Source organism: Homo sapiens, chromosome 8, assembly GCF_000001405.40.
Source record: "Homo sapiens chromosome 8, GRCh38.p14 Primary Assembly".
NCBI lineage: Eukaryota > Metazoa > Chordata > Mammalia > Primates > Hominidae > Homo > Homo sapiens.
In genome coordinates, this window is record NC_000008.11 from 79,742,482 (window position 1) to 79,759,344 (window position 16,863).

Here is a 16,863-nt window from a genome sequence, read left to right on the forward strand (position 1 = left end):
TTTGAGCCTCGCTCTGTCACCAGGCTGGAGTGCAGTGGCTCAATCTCGGCTCACTGCAATCTCCACCTCCCAGGTTCAAGTGATTCCTCTGCCTCAGCCTCCCAAGTAGCTGGAACTACAGGCGCCAGCCACCACGCCCGGCTAATTTTTTGTATTTTAGTAGAGACGGGGTTTCACCATGTTGGCCAGGATGGCCAGGATGGTGTCCATCTCCTGACCTCGTGATCCACCTGCCTCAGCCTCCCAAAGTGCTGGGATTAGAGGCATGAATCACCATTTTATTTTAAGTTCCGGGATACATGTGCAGGATGTGCAGGTTTGTTACATAGGTAAACATGTGCCGTGATGGTGTGTTTGCTGCACCTAACAACCCATCACCTATGTATTAAGCCCCATGTACATTAGCTATTTATCCTGATGCTTTCCTCCCCCAACCTGCCAAGAAAAAATAATTTATTTTTACAAATTGTACAAAAATATATGACCAGTGGGCACATTGCCAGAGCCCTCCCAGGCTTCAGAAGGAGTCCGTGCAACTGGGGGGCCCTGGAGCCCCACTGTACACCTGCTTCTGATTTTACCTGTGTTCCTGATGGCCACATTCCCCTGATGCATTACATACTTGCAGCAAGCACCGTGTAAATACAAACAGAAATGACTCAGAACTTCAGTTGATCGTTTTAAAGCTGCAGATAGCCTGTAAGTAGCAGGGAAATGCGCCACTTAAGCTTCATTAACCCTGATGACAGTATGGGAGGCTGACCACAAACACACAAAAAGGTAAAATGTCGTGTCCTTTAAACTTGGTTTAGCCCAATGTTCTTAATTGTCTGGTAGTCTGGGGCTTTTCTTTGTGTTTGTTAGTTTTAAATTTAGTTTCTTTGCTGTTACATATGGTGAGAAACGGCCTTTTTTATCTTGTTGCGTTGAGCATTTTTGGAGGTTCCCCTCAGCCTGGAGGGGAGGAGTTGAGTATTGTTTTGTTTTGTTTTGTTTTGTTTTGTTCCTAAACTCTACAAATAATAGAAGAAATAATATTGTTTGTATTGGGTGCACCTGCTTCCCTAAACCAGAGCGAGGTGTTTTGTGTGTTTTTTTTTCTCTCCTCCCCCACTCTCCTTTTATCTTGGCTGCATGAGCTTTGTTGTTTGGTGGGAATTTAAGTGGCTCCTGCTTTCTTAGGGAACTTCCTATCCCAGGGAATTCAGAAATTCTCCCCAGGGGCCCCCAGAAACTGTATTGTATTATTGCCTCCACTCCACCCCCTTTCCACATAAGCCGCATAAACATGCACCCAAACACACGAGACGTTTTTAAAGGAGCAAAAGAAACGTAATCCTGCAAAGGTTTCCTGGGAATATGTGCATTTATGAGTGTGCATTTGTGATTGGAGGTGCTTTGACACTCATGTGTGCATGTTACTTCAGGAGAAATGGAAGTCTGTGTGGTTTTCTGTACGCATTTTCTTTAGTCTTGAATACAACAAAAGTAAATGCTATAATTTCTTTTCTTGCTCCTTTTGCTCTTCTCCAACTTACAAGACAGCCCCAGGTGATTGGCTCCTTGACCCTCCTTCTTTGACCCACACCCATCTTTCCCCAGAGTGAGGCCCTAGACCCTGGTTTGGGGGTCACTGGACAGAACCTACCATAAAGCCCACCCCAGAGACTGTGCTGGGTGCACAATGCAGGGAGAAAGGCCGTCAGCCTGTCTAGCCCCATTTTGTGAGTCTGGGTATAGCCAGATTCATGCCCTGCTTCATCTTTGTGACCCCAGCTTGTGGCAAAGAGCCTCACACATAGGACACACTCAGCAAATATTTATAGCAGGAATGTTGAATGATGTGACTTTGAGCAAGTCACTTTGCGGCCCTGGCTCTGATTTTCTTCCCAATAAATGAAACAGTTGATCTCTTGAATTCTTTCTAACACTACAATGATTGCTTTGTCCAAAATGGATTTTCATTTATCTCTTTATGTCGGTTAGCAGTGGAAACAAGTAACAAGAAAAAAATAAAGCCAGGCACAGTGGTTCACGCCTGTAATCCCAGCACTTTGGGAGGCAGAGACAGAAGGATCTCTTGAGTCCAGAAGTTTAAGACCAGCCTGGACAACATAGGGAGATCCTATCTCTAAAACAAAAAGAAAAGGAGAAGTAAAAGGAGAAGGGGGATGGGGAGGAGGAGGAGGAGGAAAAGGAAAGGAGAAGGAAAAGGAGAAGAAGAAGAAGAAGGAGAAGGAGAAGAAGAGGAGGAGGAGGAGGAGAATAGTATCTTAAGATGAAATTCCCTCTCATGTAAAAGAAGTCCAAAGGCAGGCTATTTTCGGGGCTCCAAGGTGTCATCAGGGACACGGGAGGCCACCTTTCAGCAATGCCATCCTCACTCCATGATAGATGCAATCTACCATGCCAGCCGCAGTGTTCTCCTAGATTAGCAGAGAGAGAAAGCCTGGGAAGACAAGTGGGTCCCCTTTGCAGCTGAGCCCAATTAAGTGCTGTCCTAGAAGTCCTACTTAATATGTTGCTTATATCTCATTGACCAGAATTTAGTCACTTGGCCAGACCTACCTGCAGGAAAGTATACATATTCTTTTAACTGGGCATATTGCCCCCAAGTAAAAGCCAGGGTCCTTTTACTAAGGAAGAAAAGGAGAATGGATATTGGTGTCAAATAGCAATCTTGCCACCCTTGTTCATCATTGTTTGGCCTGGTTTGCAATTTGAGGCAATTGTTCTAGCACTTTCCCCTCCTTTGCAATCTTAAATAAAGGTTTCTCAGATCCTGATGGCATTTACACTAGTCCCTGGAAAAATGAGAGAAGAAGAAATAAAAAGATAATGCAGTGTATTTAAAATGCTAACCTTATAATTTAATTTAATTGGCTCAAAGAACTGCTCTTTTTAATAATTATATCATTTTCTCTCTCATGAAAATTTACTTTTTTGTAAAATGATGTTCATGGCAGATTGCAGTTTATTAATATTCTTACTTTGAAAAATAAGGCTGTAAACTCTACATCAATAGAATCACCTGAAAAAACAAAAAACAAACAAAAAAAAAACCCAAAAACCTAGTCCTTTCATTCGAAAGTCTAGGAACATCGCCTTGGATCATTTCCTTAATTCTCTTTCAGCCTGCATCTCCTGAGAAAGGAGGGTTGAGGAGGGGAGGTTTTAAAATCTTTTGGCAGGTGTGTCTATGCCCTATCAATAATAACAGAGAAATACAAAACAGAGTTGTGGTTAATTTAGGAAGAAAATATATCTTCTTAGCTCTTGATATCAAGGGAACAACTTAAAAGAGTGATGTCTTCAAGATACCAGAAATGAGGGTCAGATTCCTGAACTCTGCCTGCCTAAGTTCAAATACTGCCCCAGAATGTACCAGCTGAGGGATCTTGAACAAGTGACTTAACGTCTTTAAGCCTAATGTTTAAAATCTATAAAATGGGACTAATAATAGAATCTCTCTTAAAAGATTAGTGGATTAAATTAGAAAAAAATATAAAGAGCTTTTCTATATATATATATATAGAAAATATATATAAAGAGTCATGGTGCCTGACACCTAGGATCTAGTCAGTAATATCACCAATTGTAAGATTTGATTCAGCTAGAATAACTAAAAAGCCAAAATGATTCAATGGCTTAAACACATAAATGTTTCTTTTTCTCTTGTGCAATAAAACTCCAGAGGCGATCAGTCCAGGGCAGTGCTGGGGACATCAGACATCCAGATATTTCTCTCTTGGCTCCACCATCCTTAGCTCATTGCCTCATGATCCAGCATAGTTCTGGAGCTTCAGCCAACACACCCATATGCAAGAAGCAGAAAGGGCATTAAAGTGCCCCTCTGCCTCCGCTTTCAAAAAGCACTTCTGATGACAGCTAACCAGGTAGAATTTAGTTCCATAATCATACCTAAAATGAAGCAGAGGCTTCAAAGACAGGGTGCATTGCTGCCCTGTATAAAATATTGAGATTCTCTCACTTAAAAAGGAGAGAATGAGTATTATAGTAGGCATACAATGATCTTTGCTACAGATGTCAGTGTTGTTGATATTGTTATTATTACAGAACATGGGACTCTAGAAAAGGGGAGCGGATCAGAGCCAAAGAGTCTGAAGGTCACCAATGTAGCAGGTGACAATTAAAATTACATAAGCAATAAGTCCTAGTGATATATTATGCAACATGATGCCTATGGTTAACAAAAATTTGCTAAGAGGGTAGAATTTATATTAGGTGTTCTTGTCATAAAATAATAAAATATAGAGGGCAGGAGAAAACATTTGGAGGTAATAGCTATGTTTATGGCAAGGAAGGGAAGAAAAAAGAGAAGAAAAAGAAGAAATGAAAAGAGTACAAAATATTTATCAGTAAATAGATTTCATCGACTTTGGAGGTCTTACAAATCCCAAGTCCTCAGAAAATTAATTTTTCAGTCTAGTGATAAAACAAAGCGTACACACTGGAAGTGGTTGATTAGCCAAGTCACACATCCCTGTTTCCAGCTAAGTGACTGTATTAGTCTGTTCTCACATTGCTAATGAAGACATACCTGAGACTGGATAATTATAAAGGAAAGAAGTTTAATTGACTCACAGTTCCACATGGCTAGAGAGGTCTCACAATCATGGTGGAAGGCAAGGGGTAACAAGTTACATCCTACATGGTGGCAGGGAAGAGAGAATTTGTGCAGGGGAGCTCCTCTTTATAAAATCATCAGATCTCGTGAGACTTATTCACTACCACAAGGACAGCATGGGTTATACCCGCCCCCATGATTCAATTACCTCCCACAGGGTCCCTCCCATGACACGTGGGAATTGTGGGAGGTACAATTCAAGATGAAATTTGGGTGGGGACACAGCCAAACCGTATCGGTGACCAAGAGAATGATCCAGAACATAAGGGAGACAGGAGCACAAAACAGAGAGAAGTCACTGGCCTGGAGGAGACAAGAAAGGAGGTAAGGCTTCTAGGCTGGATTTTGCAGGACCCAGGGCAGTTGGGACTTTTTATTAGGCATTGGACTAATCCCATATGACTCTTTAGCCATTTTACTACTTAACCAAGCTCTCATTAGAATGGCCTTTCTCTCCAGCGAGGGCTCAGTTGCACACAGCCAGCTTCACCCCTGTGTTTCCTTCACAGCTATCGACCACCCTTGCCCAGGAAGATGTCTGGAAACCATGTGCCTAGAGATGGGCAAGAGGGCAGTGTCCCAGCTGGCTGAGTCGGTGACCAGATTTCATTGTCTTTGGAAAGGAGTCAAGCTCCAACTCCACAGAAAAATAACAGGGAGATCAACTCAGAGGAAATAACAGTGAAAATCAGTGAGGACCAGAGTTTATCTCCTACCCACTCTCTTTAATTGCTGGACAGAATCTGCTGCTTTTAATATAAGCTTCCCGGGGAAAGAAGGAAAGGGCCAAAGGCCCTGCTTGGCTGTACTCAGGATCAGCTTGAAAACCAACCTCATTTTCAGCAACCGGCTTCTCCCTGGTTGCATGAACATTTTGTTCGACACGACTCTCCTTCTTTCATTTTCCTAAAGCAGCAGTTGCCAACCTTGGCTGCACATTAAAAATCACCTGGGAGATCTTTTACAATACTAATGCCACTTTTAGAGCTTTATATTTAATGGGTCTGCTGTGTGAACTGGCCCTCGAGATTATCTAAATTTCCCTAGGTGACTCTAATACGCAGCCAGTTGAGAGCTACTGTCCTGAAGCATTGTTAACAGGACATTTTTGTATATTTAGGGTTGCAAAGGCATAATTATGGCAGAAGGTGAAAAACAACTTCAAAATCAATTTTAAATATTTGTGTCCTTAAAAAATCCCTCTGGGCATAGTGTCTCATGCCTATAATCCCAGCAGTTTGGGAGGCCAAGATGGGAGGATCACGTGAGCCCAGGAGTTCAAGACCAGCCTGGGCAACATAATGAGACCCCTGTCACTAAAAAAATTTAAAAATGATAATATAAATAAATAAATAAAAATCCCGTAGTCAGTCCTCTCCTTTGAGAAAGTCTTCCTAAAGAGAGATTAACAGCAGCTGCAGCTTAATTTTATCCCCATGGGACGCTCTCCTCCCCTCAAGGTCATTTTCCTCCCCTCTCTGTCCTCCTGCCCCCAACTCTAGCATTTCTGATATATAAAACTCTGTCATAATACAGTAAGTAGTGCCCCAAAAACTGCAGGAGCAAATCATTCTGAGGTCAATGAAATGACCCACATGAACCTCTGTAGTTGGCCAGCCAGGAACCTGAAAAACAGGCTGTGTCATCCAAAATACATTCCATCTGGTGGTAGTTTAACTGTCCAGCTAAAACATCAATAGGAACATTCTGGATGCTCTGGCCTGCTAGGAATTCCGGTACTACAGCAGGGATTCCGGGGTCTCTGGGTAGCTGGTAACCCTTCCTTCCACCAGCTCTGGAGAAAGTGGACAGGAGAGCACAGGGAAACCTCTGCCTCCCAACATCCCACAATGAGGAGCCTCCATTCCCTGATCTTTTGTCTGTGCTCCAGTTCCCTACTCCCCTACTTCCCTACCCACCACTTCACCCCCACCCCCTTGCAGAAGAGAGCTTTTGGTGAGCCTAAACAAAACTGAGGGGCAAGCCTGCATACCTCAGACACATTATCCCTATTCAACTTCACAAAAACTCCATGAAGAAGGCTCTGTTCGTATCCTATTTCTCAAAATACAAAAAACTTAAGTAACGTGCCCAGTGTTTTAGCTGGTAACCTGGAATTAAACCAAATTAATTCCAGACACTTCTTCATAATAAAAGGGTTTCAGGCTTATGGCCATCTAGATCAGGGACACTAAAGCTTTTGGATGGCATATTCCATAGGACAATTTGGAGGAACTACCTCTACATTGTAAAACTGACATCCACTTAATAGAAGAAGCATTTGACAAAATGTAATATTCGTTCATGATTAAAAAAAAACTCTCAACAAAAAAGTATAGAAGGAACTTAACACAATATAGACAATATATGAAAGGCCCACAGCTAACATCATAATCAATGAGGAAAAGCTGATAGATTTTCCACTAAGATGTGGTATAAGGATACCCACTCTTACCACTTTTGTTTTCTTTTTTTCCATTCACATGAATGTTCATAGCAGCTTTGGTGGTAATAGCCAAAAATTAGAAGCAATGCAAATGTCCATCAGTATGTGGCATATTAATACAATGGCATTACTCAGCAATAAAAAGGAGCAAACTACTTGTACACTCAAGTGAATGAATGAATCTCAAAACCAAAGAAGCTAGATGTTGTGTGTGTGTGTGTGTACACATCCATCAGATGATGATTCTATTTATATGAAATTCTAGAACAGACAAAACTTACCCTATCATGACAAAGTGAAAGCTGATGAGGCCAGTGGCTGCCTGGGGCTAAAGGTGGGAAAGTGTTGCTGCAAAAAGTCATGAGGAAACTGCTTGGGGGTGATGCAAACATTCTAGATCTGGACTGTGATGGCAGTTATTTGTCTGGGTAGAGGTATTTGTCAGAACTCATTGATATATATTTTTTAAATGGGCACATTATATTGTATGGAAATTATACCTCAATAAAATTTATTTGAAAGAAGAAACAACAAATAGATCTTATAAACAGTAAGATCAGCCCGGTGCCGTGGCTCACGCCTGTAATCCCAGCACTTTGGGAGGCCGAGGCGGGTGGATTGCCTGAGGTCAGGAGTTCGAGACCAGCCTGGCCCAACATGGTGAAACCCCATCTCTACTAAAAATACAAAAATTAGCCGGGCGTGGTAGCTGGCGCCTGTAAGCCCATCTACTCGGGAGGCTGAGGCAGGAGAATTGCTTGAACCTGGGCGGCAGGGGTTGTGGTGAGCCAAGATCACACCATTGCACTCCAGCCTGGGCAACAAGAGCTAAACTCCATCTCAAAATAAATAAATAAATAAGATATATTTTCCATGCTAAAGTAAACTAATGTGTTTATTTCTTTAAAAAATAATTTTTATCATATTATTCTACACTAGTCTTGGCTGAGATTTTTTTTAAATTAGTATTTTGCAATACATAGCATGGAGCTATGAGAAAAGTAGGATGTTCTCCTGAATGATATTAATTTATAGGCATTAAGGAGATCCTTTTTCTTACAATTCTTTTTATGTGGGGCATTGTTTTTTGTTTTTTGGTTTTAGACAGGGTCTCACTCAATCACCCAAGGTGGAGTGCAGTGGCTCAATCTCCTTCATTTCAGCCTCAGCCTCTTGGACTCAAGCGATCCTTCCATCTCAGCTTCCCAAGTAGGTGGGACTACAGGTGTGCACCACCACACCTAGCTAATTTTTGTATTTCTTGTAGAGACGGCGTTTTGCCACATTACCCAGGCTGGTCTCAAACTCCTAGACTCAAGTGATCCTCCCACCTTGGCCTCCCAAAGTGCTGGGATTACAGGCGTGAACAGGAGGATCACTTTAATGCCAGGAGTTCAAGGCTAGCCTGGGCAGCATAGTGAGACCCTAGTCTCTACAAAATAATAACAATAAGAATAGAACCTGCAACAAAGCTTAAGTCCTCAGACTTTATTGGGAAAGTCAATGCCAGAGTTGCAAAAGTGAAGGAAAAATAAATGTGTCCTTGAAGGAGAAAAGGTAGCACATTGCCCAGAAGGCCATAGTTTCAGAAGAAAGCATCACATATTGTTCACAGTCAATAAGGAGGTCTTCCAAGCAGGTCATAAGAAACTCTTGCTACTCAACACAGTGTGACGTAGAAGGAAAGGAATGGAGTTTATCTGCTGGTTCATTCCATTTTCCTGACTCTCATTACTCTAAGTATGTCTGTTAAGCATTAAACTCCCACATTTTGAGTTGTGTTATTAGGTGCTGGGAAAGCCCTGTCTCAGGTCTCATGGCACAATATTTTATGAGTCTAGACATGACAAGAAGAACTACAGCTACTGTGGGTCCCATCAAGTCAGGCTTGGGCCCCTGAGCTGCTGAAGTTCCTTTGGTACTTTCACCACTTCTATTCAACATAGTACTAAAAGACTGAGCTAGAGCAATTAGGCATGAAAAAGAAATTAAAAACATCCACATTGGAAAGGAATAAGTAAAATTATCTCTTTGCAGATGATGTGATCATATATGTAGAAAACTCTGAAGATTCAACTAAAAAACTGTTAGAACTAATAAATTCAGTGAAGTTGCAGGATACAAAATCAACATAAAAAAATCAGTGGTGTTTATATACACAAACAATGAGCTATCCAAAAAGGTAATTAAGAAAGCAATCCTGTTTACAATAGCAACCAAAACAAGTAAAAAGTAAAATGCTTATGAATAAACTTAACTAAAGAAGTGAAAGACTTGCACACGAAAATTAAAATCCATTGATGAGGAAATTAAAGAAGATACAGCTAAATGGAAAGGCATGTCATGTTCCCATGGATTAGAAGAATTAATTGTTGGCTAAGCGTGGTGGCACATGCCTGTAATCCCAGCACTTTGGGAGGCCGAGGCAGGCGAACAGCTCAAGTCCAGGAATTCAAGACCAACCTGGGCAACATGGAGACTCCCCATCTCTACGAAAAATACAAAAATTAGCCAGGCATGGTGACATGGATCTGCAGTCACAGCTACTCAGGAAGCTGAGGTGGGAGGATTGCTTGAGACCGGGAGGTCAAGGCTGCAGTGAGTCAAAATTGTGCCACTGCACTCCAGCCTATGTGACAGTGTGAGACCCCCTCTCCAAAGAAAAATGAAAAAAATAATATTGTTAAAATGTCCGTACTACCCAAAGTGATCTACAGGTTCAGTGTAATCTCTATCAAAATCCCAATGGCATTCTTTACAGAAAAAAAAATCCTAAAATTCATAAGGAACCACCAAAGATTACAAATAGCTAAAACAATCTTGAGCAAGAAGAACAAAGCTGGAGACATCAGATTTCCTGATTTCAAAATATATTACAAAGCTACAGTAGTTAAAACAGGATGGTACTAGCAAAAAAGAAGAAATAAGAAGAAGCAGCAGGAGGAGGAGGAAGAGGAAGAAGAAGAAGAAGAACAGGAGGAGGAGGAGGAAAAGGAGGAGGAAGAAGGAGAAGAAGAAGAACAATAACAAGAAGGAGGAGGAGGAGGAGAAGAAGAAGAAGACAGACATATAAACCAATGGAACAGAATATAGAGTCCAGAAATAAATCCATGCATCTCCAGTCAACTATTCTTCATAATGGCTGCCAAGAACACACGAAGGGGAAAGAATAGTCTCTTCAACAAATGATGGTGGGAAAACTGGATCTCCACATGCACAAGAATGAAATTGGGCTCTTACTTCACACCATCCACAGAAATAAACTCAAAATGGATTAAAAACTTAAATGTGAAACCTGAAATTATAAACTTCTAGAAAAAACATAGGGGAAAAGCTTCTTGACACTGGTGTGGATGATTTCTTTTAATATGACACCAAAGTGAAGGCAACGAAAGCAAAAATAGTCAAGTTGGATTGAATCAAACTAAAAAACCTTCTGCTCAGCAAATGAAACAATCAAAACAGTGAAGAAGGCACCTACTAAATGGGAGAAAGTATTTGCAAACTATACATCTGACAAGGGGTTAATACCCAAAATATATAAGGAACTCGAGCAACTCAGTAGCAAGAAAACAACCTGGTTTTAAAATGACCAAAGGTCTTGAAAAGACATTTCTCAAAAGAAGACATACAAATGGCTGACAGGTATATGGAAAAAAAAAATGTTCGTTTATCACCAATCATCAGGGAAATACAAATTAAAACTACAATGTGTTAACTCCTCACACCTGTTAAGATGGATATTACAAAATAAACAAAAAATAACAAATGTTGGTGAGGTTGTGAAGAAAAGAGAACCCTTGCACAATGTCGGTGGGGATGTAAATTAGTGCAGCCATTATGGAGAACAATATGGAGGTTCCTCAAAAAATTAAAAATAAAAACTACCATACCATCCAGCAATCCCACTACTGGGTATATATCCAAAGGAAAATCAGTATCTCAGAGAGATGTCTGCAATCCATGTTCATTGCAACATTACTCACAATAGCCAAGATATGGAATCAACCTAAGTGTTCATCAATGGATGAATGGATTAAATATATATATATGAATATTACTCAGCCTTTTAAAAAAAAGAAAATTTTGTCATTTGCAACAACATGAATGAATCTGCAGGACATCATGCTAAGTGAAACACACCAGACACAGAGAGACAAACACTGCATGATCTCACTTATATGTGGAATCTAAAATAGCCTAACTCATAGAAACAGAGCAGGATAGTGGTTTTCAGGGGTTGAGGCAGTGGGGGAAATGGGGAGATGTTGGTCAATGGGTACAAAGTTTCAGTTTTGCAGGATGAATAAGTTTTGGAGATCTAATGTACAGCATCATGACTATAGTTAATAATACTCCATTACATGTTTAAAATTCACTAAGAGGGTAGATTTTAAGTGTTCTCAACACACACACACACACACACACACACACACACAAAGGTAACTATGTGAGGTGATGGACATGTTTATTAGTTTGATTGTGATAATCATTTCATAATGTATATACATACATTGAAAACATCAAGTTATATACCTTAAATATATACAGTTTGTGTTTGTCAATTATACCCTGATAAAGCTAAAAATACAACAAAATAAAATTGACATTTAAAATATTTTCTAAAGTTTAAATGGTGGCCAAAAAATGCACTTTTTAGGGTTTAATGTTGACATCTAATAAAATGTTAAAGGCATCCAATGAAAGCTAAATATCATAATGATTTGATAACAGCCATTATTCTTCTTGAAAATACAAACACAAGTTCCTCTTGGATAGTGGGAAATTTACATCATTTTTTTGTCTTTGAATTCCTATTGCCATTTCATGTTCCTACTGAGTTTTATCCTAGTAACACATTTTTATGCTTGAAAGTATTTTCTTGATCTCAAATTATAGTTCTCTCTGATACAGATTTGCATATAAATTCAATTATTTTAGTTTTTATTTATTAAGACCATAAGGTTCTAAGTGATGGCTGGAAGGAAGGAAAGGAAGGAAGGAAGGAAGGAAAGTAGGTTCTGGATTGAGTTATTATTACAATTATTACTATACAATTAATAAAATATTTTGATAACTATTATTAAGAGTAAAATGTTATTGAATGTGCATATCTTCTTACTAAAATGAATAGGCTCCCTCTCAAGTAGTTCATGTATAAATAAATTAATATTGCCAATAATCATATTTAGATGATCCATAATCAAAATTATTAGTAATGTTCTAGTAGCTGACAATTTAAGATGATCTTCATTTTGACAAAGGCAAAGAATTGGAAAGTACCTAATTTTCAAAAATATTTGTTACATAGTCACTAGTCAGTTTCTTTCTCAATTTCTGGGAAATATGCTAAAAAAATTTTTTTACCAAGTCTTATTAAAGGAACTCTTAGTTATACCACTTTCTCTTCTGCCTAGAAGACCTAAAGAATGAGTGTTGAGATTAACTGAAAAGAATTGCTTCAGTTTACCTACATGAAAGGAGAAAAGAAGTCATTTAAGCATTCATGATTCTTTTTTTTTTTTATTTTAAGTTTAAGTTCTGGGGTACTTGTGCAGGATGTGCAGGTTTGTTACATAGGTAAACGTGTGCCATGGTGGTTTGCTGCACCTATCAACCCATCACCTAGGTATTAAGCCCTGCATGCATCATCTATTTTTCCTAATGCTCTTCCTCCCCCAGTGCCACACCCAACAGACCCCAGTGTGTGTTGTTCCCCTCTGGCATTCACATTTCTGACTGAGGCTGTGTTTGCTTTGTTCTTACTGACTCTAGAGAAAGATACAGTCTTGGACAACGTTTTGAAAATAGAAGAGGCAAGGTTATTAAATGATCATTGCTATCATTCCCACCATGCTTCTCTTCAAAATTTCTAAATTTAGAACATTTGAATACTTTGTTTTCTAATCCATGTTTCATCCATAACAAAAATATGTGTAAAACGGGCATAAACAGGAAGCCAATGGTGAGATTAAAGTTTCTCAATGATCATTAAGGAAGATTTTCCTGCAACCAAGTTTTAGAATTGTCCCTTTGTCTGGCATCCTATAAGTTTCTGAGTCTGCAGATTTGGGATGGGTGAAGGGTATGGCTTTTATAATTAAGGGGAAAGGCTGCCTGTGAGCATAGCAGTGGGGAGGCTGAACTGGCAAGTCAAGAACTGCATACATGTGGTAATTCAACATCTAGAGATTGATGCCTTTAAAACATCTGTATCCATGTATCCATCACCCTTGGAAAGCCTTGGTTAGAACCTCTAGTGAAGCCCATTCACAACATTCAGGGTGGACCAAACTCTGCTTCAATATCCTGTATCTCAGGGAACTCATCTTCTCCCCAAGAAGTTTGTTTCACTTTCAGCCTACTGTAATCATTAGAAAATATCACAGGAGACTCTTGCCAAGTGAAAAATCAATCAACTGATAAGTTAAATTTGAGTGTTAAGTTTTTTAAAGTGTGGACTTTTTATTTGCCAATAAATTCTAGCTTTGCTTCATAACTGTTGGAAGATTTTGGATGACTGTCATCATCTTGCATAATCTCAGTTTATTCATCTGTAAACAGAAATGATAACACTGACCTTTCAGAGTAACCATTCTTAAAGATTACAGATAATGTGTGAAAAGCCCCCAGCACAATGCGGGGCGTGATACAAACACTAAATGAAGAATTATTGTCATTTAACTAATTCCTGAGCCTTCTAACTGTCCCATCATGCAGCTCACATTTCTAGTACTGTTCCAGGAAATGGTAAAACACTTAGTCAAATGCCTCACAGCAGTGCAGATACACTATTCTGCAGTATCCTCCCATAGCCCAGCACAGTAAGCCTTTTCCAAAGGAATGGAAGTTCGTAAGGCATGGCTTATTCTTTGTGAACTCTTGTTAGCTGCTGGTTTTCATCACTTTTATTTATTATTTGTTTATTTATTTGTTTGTTTTTGAGATAGGGTTTTGCTCTGTCACCCAGGCTGGAGTACAGTGGCGTGGTCATAGCTCACTGCAGCCTTGAACCCTTGGGCTCAAGGGATCCTCCTGTTTCAGCCTCTCCAGTAACTGGGACTACGGGTGCATGCCACCATGTCCAGCTACTGTTTTTTGTTTTGTTTTGTTTTGGTGGGGGGGTGGTAGAGACAGGGTCTCACCATGTTGCCCAGGCTAATCTGAAACTCCTGAGCTCAAGCGATCCTGCCACTTTGGTCTCCCAAAGTGTAGGGATTACAGGCGTGAGCCACCATGCCTGGGCATCACTTTTTTTTTTAATACATGCTCCAGGTGACCATGTTAATAATTCCTCTTAAAACGTTGCCCTGTATTAACATAAACTCATTGGTTAATAGCATAAAAAATCCACCTTCTCTTTCAAAAATTCATTCGTCCATTATCTCTTCCATGTTTCACTATTCCCCAAAATTATCAAGGCGGATATGACAATCCTCTGCACAAGCTTCTTCCATTTGCTTGGGTGTCATTTCTTGGACTAAACATGCACTTCTCCACTGAGTGAGGAATAAGAAATAGTGGGTCTTTTGAGGGTTGTTTTATTTTTACAATAACTGCTTTCAACCATATTCTGACAAATATCCCTTTGCTTTCTCTTAATCATGTCTTGGGCAGACCAAAGAATTTCCTTGTCATTTTCCATAAACAAAAATTCAGTCTATTTCAACATGTCAATCTCCTTTCTCATTTAAAACTTTCCCCATCCTGTCATCAGCTAAAATGTGGGAGGAGGACTTGGGGGTCAGGGAGAGCGGGAAGGGATATTGTCTACCCTTCAGCTCTTCTTCCTCCTCCAGCACCTCGGAGGGTCTGGGTGGGGATTCATGTTCTAGGCCAGTTCTGAGTCTAGTATTCCTCCATGCCTTCCCTTCCCAACGTTAACTACGCTAGCATTGAGGACGGGAGAAGAGAAAAGAGGGAGGGAAACATCTTCCCACATAAGTTGGGGGAGGCTGCCAGGAACCTGCGTTCTCACTTTGGCTCTGTTTTCCATCTGCTGCCGGAGGCTTCTGCTGATGTGATGCTTTCCAAGTGGGTGATGTGCGTGGTATTTTAGGGGAGATGTTCAGTTTCATCCTAATCCCCTGCGTTTCCAAGAACCACACCCTGCGAAGAGAAGGAGGCAGCTGTTTCCCTTCAGCTCTGACAGCAGCTCAAGCTTCAAACCCACTTTCTATAAATCCTGGAATCTCATGCAGCCACTGCAATCCCTCATAAACTTTCAACTCACCTACTCCCTACAGGGAGGGGAGAAGCTAGGCCACTCCTCATCATGTCCATGATCTCCTTTCTCATCCCTTTCCCCATCTTCTTAGGTGAGCTGGGATGAGGTTCAGCTATGGGGGCTACTGCTGAACATGGAAAGGATAGTTTAGGCTCCTATTAAAAAATCCTGTCAGAAATATTGGGTCCCAAGTTGATTTGCGTTCCTTAGAATATGAGGTACTTACCACTTCTGTGCACTCAGCTTATTACCGGACAACAGAAAAAGCTGTACTCAAAATCCTGTTACAAACCCATGGCTGCTTAATGGCCAGAACCATGGTGAGAATTGCAGGCCCCTTCCCATCTCAACCCCACGGGTCTCTGCCCTGTGCGAGGATGTGGGTCTCCACCTGAGAACCTCTGGCCTCTGTTTTCATAAGACCGTGTCTTTATATATGGAAACGAATAATTTCCTAGTCGCCCTTCAGCCTCCAACTTATCACAGACTATATCTTAGTTTCTTTAACTTCTTCAGGTTTAGTCTAAACGCTTCATCTGTGTTGCTGTCCTATAAACCCTAAGTGGTATGTACTCTGTTCTCATAATAGAACTTCTGTTCTTCTCTCCATTTTTATAAATACACTTGGCTGGGCGCAATGGCTCATGCCTGTAATCCCAGCACCTTGAGAGGCTGAGGTGGGTGGATCATCTGAGGTCAGGAGTTCAAGACCAGCCTGGCCAACATGACGTAACCCTGTCTCTACTAAAAATACAAAAATTAGCTGAGCGTGGTGGCATATGCCTGTAATCCCAGCTACTCAGGAGGCTGGAGTGGGAGAATTGCTTGAACCTGGGAGGTGGAAGTTGCAGTGAGCTGAGATCGTGCCATTGCACTCCAGCCTGGGCAACAGAGCAACTGTCTCAAAAAATAAAATAAAATAAATAAAAATACAGTTGCTGTGCTCCCCCATCCCCATCCCAAAGGTTGTACTAAAATGGGGGAAGATCAAAAACACTGAGACACCCTAATTGGAGAGAAGGTGGAAGTGAAGATAAATTGAAAGCCTATGTCTTCAGAGGAGAGTGGGGGCTTTTGTGGGGAATATAAGAAAGGTGGTTGGATGCAGTGGCTCATGCCTGTAATTCTAGCACTTTGGGAGGCTGAGGTGGGTGGATTGCCTGAGCTCAGGGGTTCGAGACCACTCTGGGCAACACAGTGAAACATCGTCTCTACTAAAAATACAAAAATTAGCCGGGCGTGGTGGCAGGTGCCTGTAGTCCCAGCTACTCAGAAGGCTGAGGCAGGAGAATTGTTTGAACCTGGGAGGTGGAGAGCGAGACTCCACCTCCAAAAAAAAAAAAAGAAAAGAAAGGTGACCAATATCCCTACATTCCCACTAGGCACACAGAAGTGGGAATAAATAAGGAAATAAATAAATAAGGAAATAGACTTGAAGAATGATGTTTGAGTTTGGTTTTTTTTTAAAGCAGAATTTTGGCTGGACGCAGTGGCTCACACCTGTAATCCCAAAACTTTAGGAAGCCAAGGTGGGAGGATCGC